Raw genomic sequence first — 5,640 nt, 5'->3', positions numbered from 1 at the left:
TTTCCTAATTGAATAACCTTTATTTCCTTCTCCTGCCTGATTGCCCTGGCCAGAACTTCCAACACTATGTTGAATAGGAGTGGTGAGAGAGGGCATCCCTGTCTTGTGCCAGTTTTCAAAGGGAATGCTTCCAGTTTTTGCCCATTCAGTATGATATTGGCTGTGGGTTTGTCATAGGTAGCTCTTATTATTTTGAAATACGTCCCATCAATACCTAATTTATTGAGAGTTTTTAGCATGAAGGTTATTGAATTTTGTCAAAGGCCTTTTCTGCATCTATTGAGATAATCATGTGGTTTTTGTCTTTGGTTCTGTTTATATGCTGGATTACATTTATTGATTTGCGTATATTGAACCAGCCTTGCATCCCAGGGATGAAGCTGACTTGATCATGGTGGATAAGCTTTTTGATGTGCTGCTGGATTCGGTTTGCCAGTATTTTATTGAGGATTTTTGCATCAATGTTCATCAAGGATATTGGCCTGAAATTATCTTTTTTGGTTGTGTCTCTGCCTGGCTTTGGTATCAGGATGATGCTGGCCTCATAAAATGAGTTAGGGAGGATTCCCTCTTTTTCTATTGATTGGAATAGTTTCAGAAGGAATGGTACCAGTTCCTCCTTGTACCTCTGGTAGAATTCGGCTGTGAATCCATCTGGTCCTGGACTCTTTTTGGTTGGTAAGCTATTGATTATTGCCACAGTTTCAGATCCTGTTATTGGTCTATTCAGAGATTCAACTTCTTCCTGGTTTAGTGTTGGGAGAGTGTATGTGTCCAGAAATTTATCCATTTCTTCTAGATTTTCTAGTTTATTTGCGTAGAGGTGTTTGTAATATTCTCTGATGGTAGTTTGTATTTCTGTGGGATTGGTGGTGATATCCCCTTTATCATTTTTATTGTGTCTATTTGATTCTTCTTTTTTTCTTTATTAGTCTTGCTAGCAGTCTATCAATTTTGTTGATCCTTTCAAAAAACCTGCTCCTGGATTCATTAATTTTTTGAAAGGTTTTTTGTGTCTCTATTTCCTTCAGTTCTGCTCTGATTTTAGTTATTTCTTGCCTTCTGCTAGCTTTTGAATGTGTTTGCTCTTGCTTTTCTAGTTCCTTTAATTGTGATGTTAGGGTGTCAGTTTTGGATCTTTCCTGCTTTCTCTTGTGGGCATTTAGTGCTATAAATTTCCCTCTACACACTGCTTTGAATGCGTCCCAGAGATTCTGGTATGTTGTGTCTTTGTTCTCATTGCTTTCAAAGAACATCTTTATTTCTGCCTTCATTTCATTATGTACCCAGTAGTCATTCAGGAGCAGGTTGTTCCGTTTCCACGTAGTTGAGCAGTTTTGAGTGAGTTTCTTAATCCTGAGTTCTAGTTTGATTGCACTGTGGTCTGAGAGATACTTTGTTATAATTTCTGTTCTTTTACATTTGCTGAGGAGAGCTTTACTTCCAAGTATCGTCAATTTTGGAATAGGTGTGGTGTGGTGCTGAAAAAAATGTATATTCTGTTGATTTGGGGTGGAGAGTTCTGTAGATGTCTATTAGGTCTGCTTGGTGCAGAGCTGAGTTCAATTCCTCTGTAACCTTGTTGACTTTCTGTCTCGTTGATCTGTCTAATGTTGACAGTGGGGTGTTAAAGTCTCCCATTATTATTGTGTGGGAGTCTAAGTCTCTTTGTAGGTCACTCAGGACTTGCTTTATGAATCTGGGTGCTCCTGTATTGGGTTCATATATATTTAGGATAGTTAGCTCTTCTTGTTGAATTGATCCCTTTACCATTATGTAATGGCCTTCTTTGTCTCTTTTGATCTTTGTTGGTTTAAAGTCTGTTTTATCAGAGACTAGGATTGCAACCCCTGCCTTTTTTTGTTTTCCATTTGCTTGGTAGATCTTCCTCCATCCTTTTGAGCCCATGTGTGTCTCTGCACGTGAGATGGGTTTCCTGAATACAGCACACTGATGGATCTTGACTCTTTATCCAATTTGCCAGTCTGTGTCTTTTAATTGGAGCATTTAGTCCATTTACATTTAAAGTTAATATTGTTATGTGTGAATTTGATCCTGTCATTATGATATTACCTGGTTATTTTGCTCGTTAGTTGATGCAGTTTCTTCCTAGTCTCGATGGTCTTTACATTTTGGCATGATTTTGCAGTGGCTGGTACCAGTTGTTCTTTTCCATGTTTAGTGCTTCCTTCAGGAGTTCTTTTAGGGCAGGCCTGGTGGTGACAAAATCTCTCAGCATTTGCTTGTCTGTAAAGTATTTTATTTCTCCTTCACTTATGAAGCTTAGTTTGGCTGGATATGAAATTCTGGGTTGAAAATTCTTTTCTTTAAGAATGTTGAATATTGGTCCCCACTCTCTTCTGGCTTGTAGAGTTTCTGCAGAGAGATCCACTGTTAGTCTGATGGGCTTCCCTTTGAGGGTAACCCGACCTTTCTCTCTGGCTGCCCTTAACATTTTTTCCTTCATTTCAACTTTGGTGAATCTGACAATTATGTGTCTTGGAGTTGCTCTTCTCGAGGAGTATCTTTGTGGAGTTCTCTGTATTTCCTGAATCTGAATGTTGGCCTGCCTTGCTAGACTGGGGAAGTTCTCCTGGATAATATCCTGCAGAGTGTTTTCCAACTTGGTTCCATTCTCCCTGTCACTTTCAGGTACACCAATCAGATGTAGATTTGGTCTTTTCACATAGTCCCATATTTCTTGGAGACTTTGTTCGTTTCTTTTTATTCTTTTTTCTCTAAACTTCCCTTCTCGCTTCATTTCATTCATTTCATCTTCCATCACTGATACCCTTTCTTCCAGTTGATCACATCAGCTCCTGAGGCTTCTGCATTCTTCATGTAGTTCTCGAGCCTTGGTTTTCAGCTCCATCAGCTCCTTTAAGCACTTCTCTGTATTGGTTATTCTAGTTATACATTCTTCTAAATTTTTTTCAAAGTTTTCAACTTCTTTGCCTTTGGTTTGAATGTCCTCCCATAGCTCAGAATAATTTGATCATCTGAAGCCTTCTTCTCTCAGCTCATCAAAGTCATTCTCCATCCAGCTTTGTTCCGTTGCTGGTGAGGAGCTGCGTTCCTTTGGAGGAGGAGAGGTGCTCTGCTTTTTAGAGTTTCCAGTTTTTCTGCTCTGTTTTTTCCCCATCTTTGTGGTTTTATCTACTTTTGGTCTTTGATGATGGTGATGTACAGATGGGTTTTTGGTGTGGATGTCCTTTCTGTTTGTTAGTTTTCCTTCTAACAGATGGGACCCTCAGCTGCAGGTCTGTTGGAGTACCCGGCTGTGTGAGGTGTCAGTCTGCCCCTGCTTGGGGGTGCCTCCCTGTTAGGCTGCTCAGGGGTCAGCGGTCAGGAACCCACTTGAGGAGGCAGTCTGCCCGTTCTCAGATCTCCAGCTGCCTGCTGGGAGAACCACTGCTCTCTTCAAAGCTATCAGACAGGGACATTTAAGTCTGCAGAGGTTACTGCTGTCTTTTTGTTTGTCTGTGCCCTGCCCCCAGAGGTGGAGCCTACAGAGGCAGGCAGGCCTCCTTGAGCTGTGGTGGGATCCACCCAGTTTGAGCTTCCTGGCTGCTTTGTTTACGTAAGCAAGCCTGGGCAATGGCGGGCACCCCTCCCCCAGCCTCGCTGCCACCTTGCAGTTTGATCTCAGACTGCTGTGCTAGCAATCAGCGAGACTCCATGGGCGTAGGACCCTCCGAGCCAGGTGGGGGATATAATCTCCTGATGCGCCATTTTTTAAGCCCATCGGAAAAGCGCAGTATGCAGGGGGGAGTGACCCGATTTTCCAGGTGCCGTCTGTCACCCCTTTCTTTGACTAGGAAAGGGAACTCCCTGACCCCTTGCACTTTCCGAGTGAGGCAATGCCTCGCCCTGCTTCAGCTCGTGCACGGTGCGCTCCACCCACTGTCCTGCGCCCACTGTCTGGCACTCACTAGTGAGATGAACCCAGTACCTCAGATGGAAATGCAGAAATCACCCATCTTCTGCGTCGCTCACGCTGGGAGCTGTAGACCGGAGCTGTTCCTATTCGGCCATCTTGGCTCCTCCGGAATCGGAAAAAGTATTTTTTCAGACAGAATTAATTCAAAGACTTTGAGAAAAGATCATCCTGGATTACTGGGTATCCCCAAAATCCAATGACAAGGGACAGAAAAGACAGAGAGGAAAGGGCGACATGAAGACTGAGGCAAAGACTGGAGTTATGTAGTCCCAGCCAAGGAATTCTTAGTACAGCAGAACCTGGAAGAGGAAAGGGAAGATCGTCTCCTAGAACCTTCAGAGGGAATGTGACCCTACTGACAGACCTTACAGATTTCCAGCCTCTAGAATTGTGAGAGAACAAACTTCTGCTATTTTAAGCCACCAAGTTTGAGATAACTTGTTACCACAACCACCAAACAACCAATATGGGCAGGGATTTAGCTTCCACTCAAGACCAGAAGCAAAGCAGATGCTGTTTAAAGGGAGAATAGTTATCTACAAAAAGGATCTTGATTATACTCCAAAACACTAGAAGCCTACACTATGATTCTCCTACTGGGGATTGCAAAAGATACACAGGATAAGGCTAATTGCCTCAGAGGTGACTGAGAGGAGCAGGACTTCTTCCCTAGACAATAAAGGATCTGGGAAATTTTGAGGTTCACACTCCTCAATCCTCTTTGTGTTTGCCCAAACATCCCCATGCCGTATCTCAGGGATCCACTTGTTTTCCACGTATGCCTTTATCTTACTACATGAGACCAAGTAGTATTGCATATTTGATGATGCACTGACTTCTTTCAGGGTGATTAATTTGCCCAGTATCATAGAGGTGTTAAGTGTCAGAGTTGAGATGTCAATCCCAGGTGGATTTGAATCCTCAGCACATGTACCTTCTATTTCACCAAGTTGCAAGTCCCTAGAGATCTATGTTACAGGGGAAAGGTGAATGGATACAGAAAATGTGTTTATCCTCAGATGATCTCCAATCATGTTTGTCTGCAGCTGTAGGAGGCAAATGTTTTTAAAGCTACCCTGGGCTAGAGATATTTACCTTGCCTGTATATAAGATAAAAAATTCTTTAAATACTTCTGAAGAACTGTTTGATTTTCTACTAACGACCTGAGTTGGGCATTCAAGGCTAATAATTTGTCCTTTTCTCTGTTCATGTTCTCTAGGATTTCATAAGTAGCCAGCCCATGGCATGGTCTATGTAATCTAAATCACCTGACAAAACAACTAATGCCACAGCCACATGATCTCCTAATGCCTTGCCCTTCACCTGCACTCCATCCCATGTAATAGCTGTTGATAGTTTGAGTAATTGTTATTCTGTCATATACTGTGTCCTCTATTTCACTCTGGCAAGGAGATTATCTGTGCCCTGTGCCTTCATCAAATATATGAGCAACATAATTGCACAATCCCATTCTGAGGATCTCTTTTCTAGAACAAAACCTGGTTTCATTTACTCGATCGGTCAAGTTCCCAGCAGCAAACAAATACTACAATCAAAAGAGATAACTAAAGACAGTTTAATAAAGGGGCATTTGCAAAAGTTTGGGCAAGATTGTGATAAACCAACAAGAAATGGTAAAGTCCCTGAGCTAGTAAGAGTGGAATGCTGTTTCCACCTCAAGGCTTGAACATACAAGGGA

Source organism: Homo sapiens, chromosome 15, assembly GCF_000001405.40.
Source record: "Homo sapiens chromosome 15, GRCh38.p14 Primary Assembly".
NCBI lineage: Eukaryota > Metazoa > Chordata > Mammalia > Primates > Hominidae > Homo > Homo sapiens.
Note: the sequence above shows the minus strand (reverse complement) of the source record.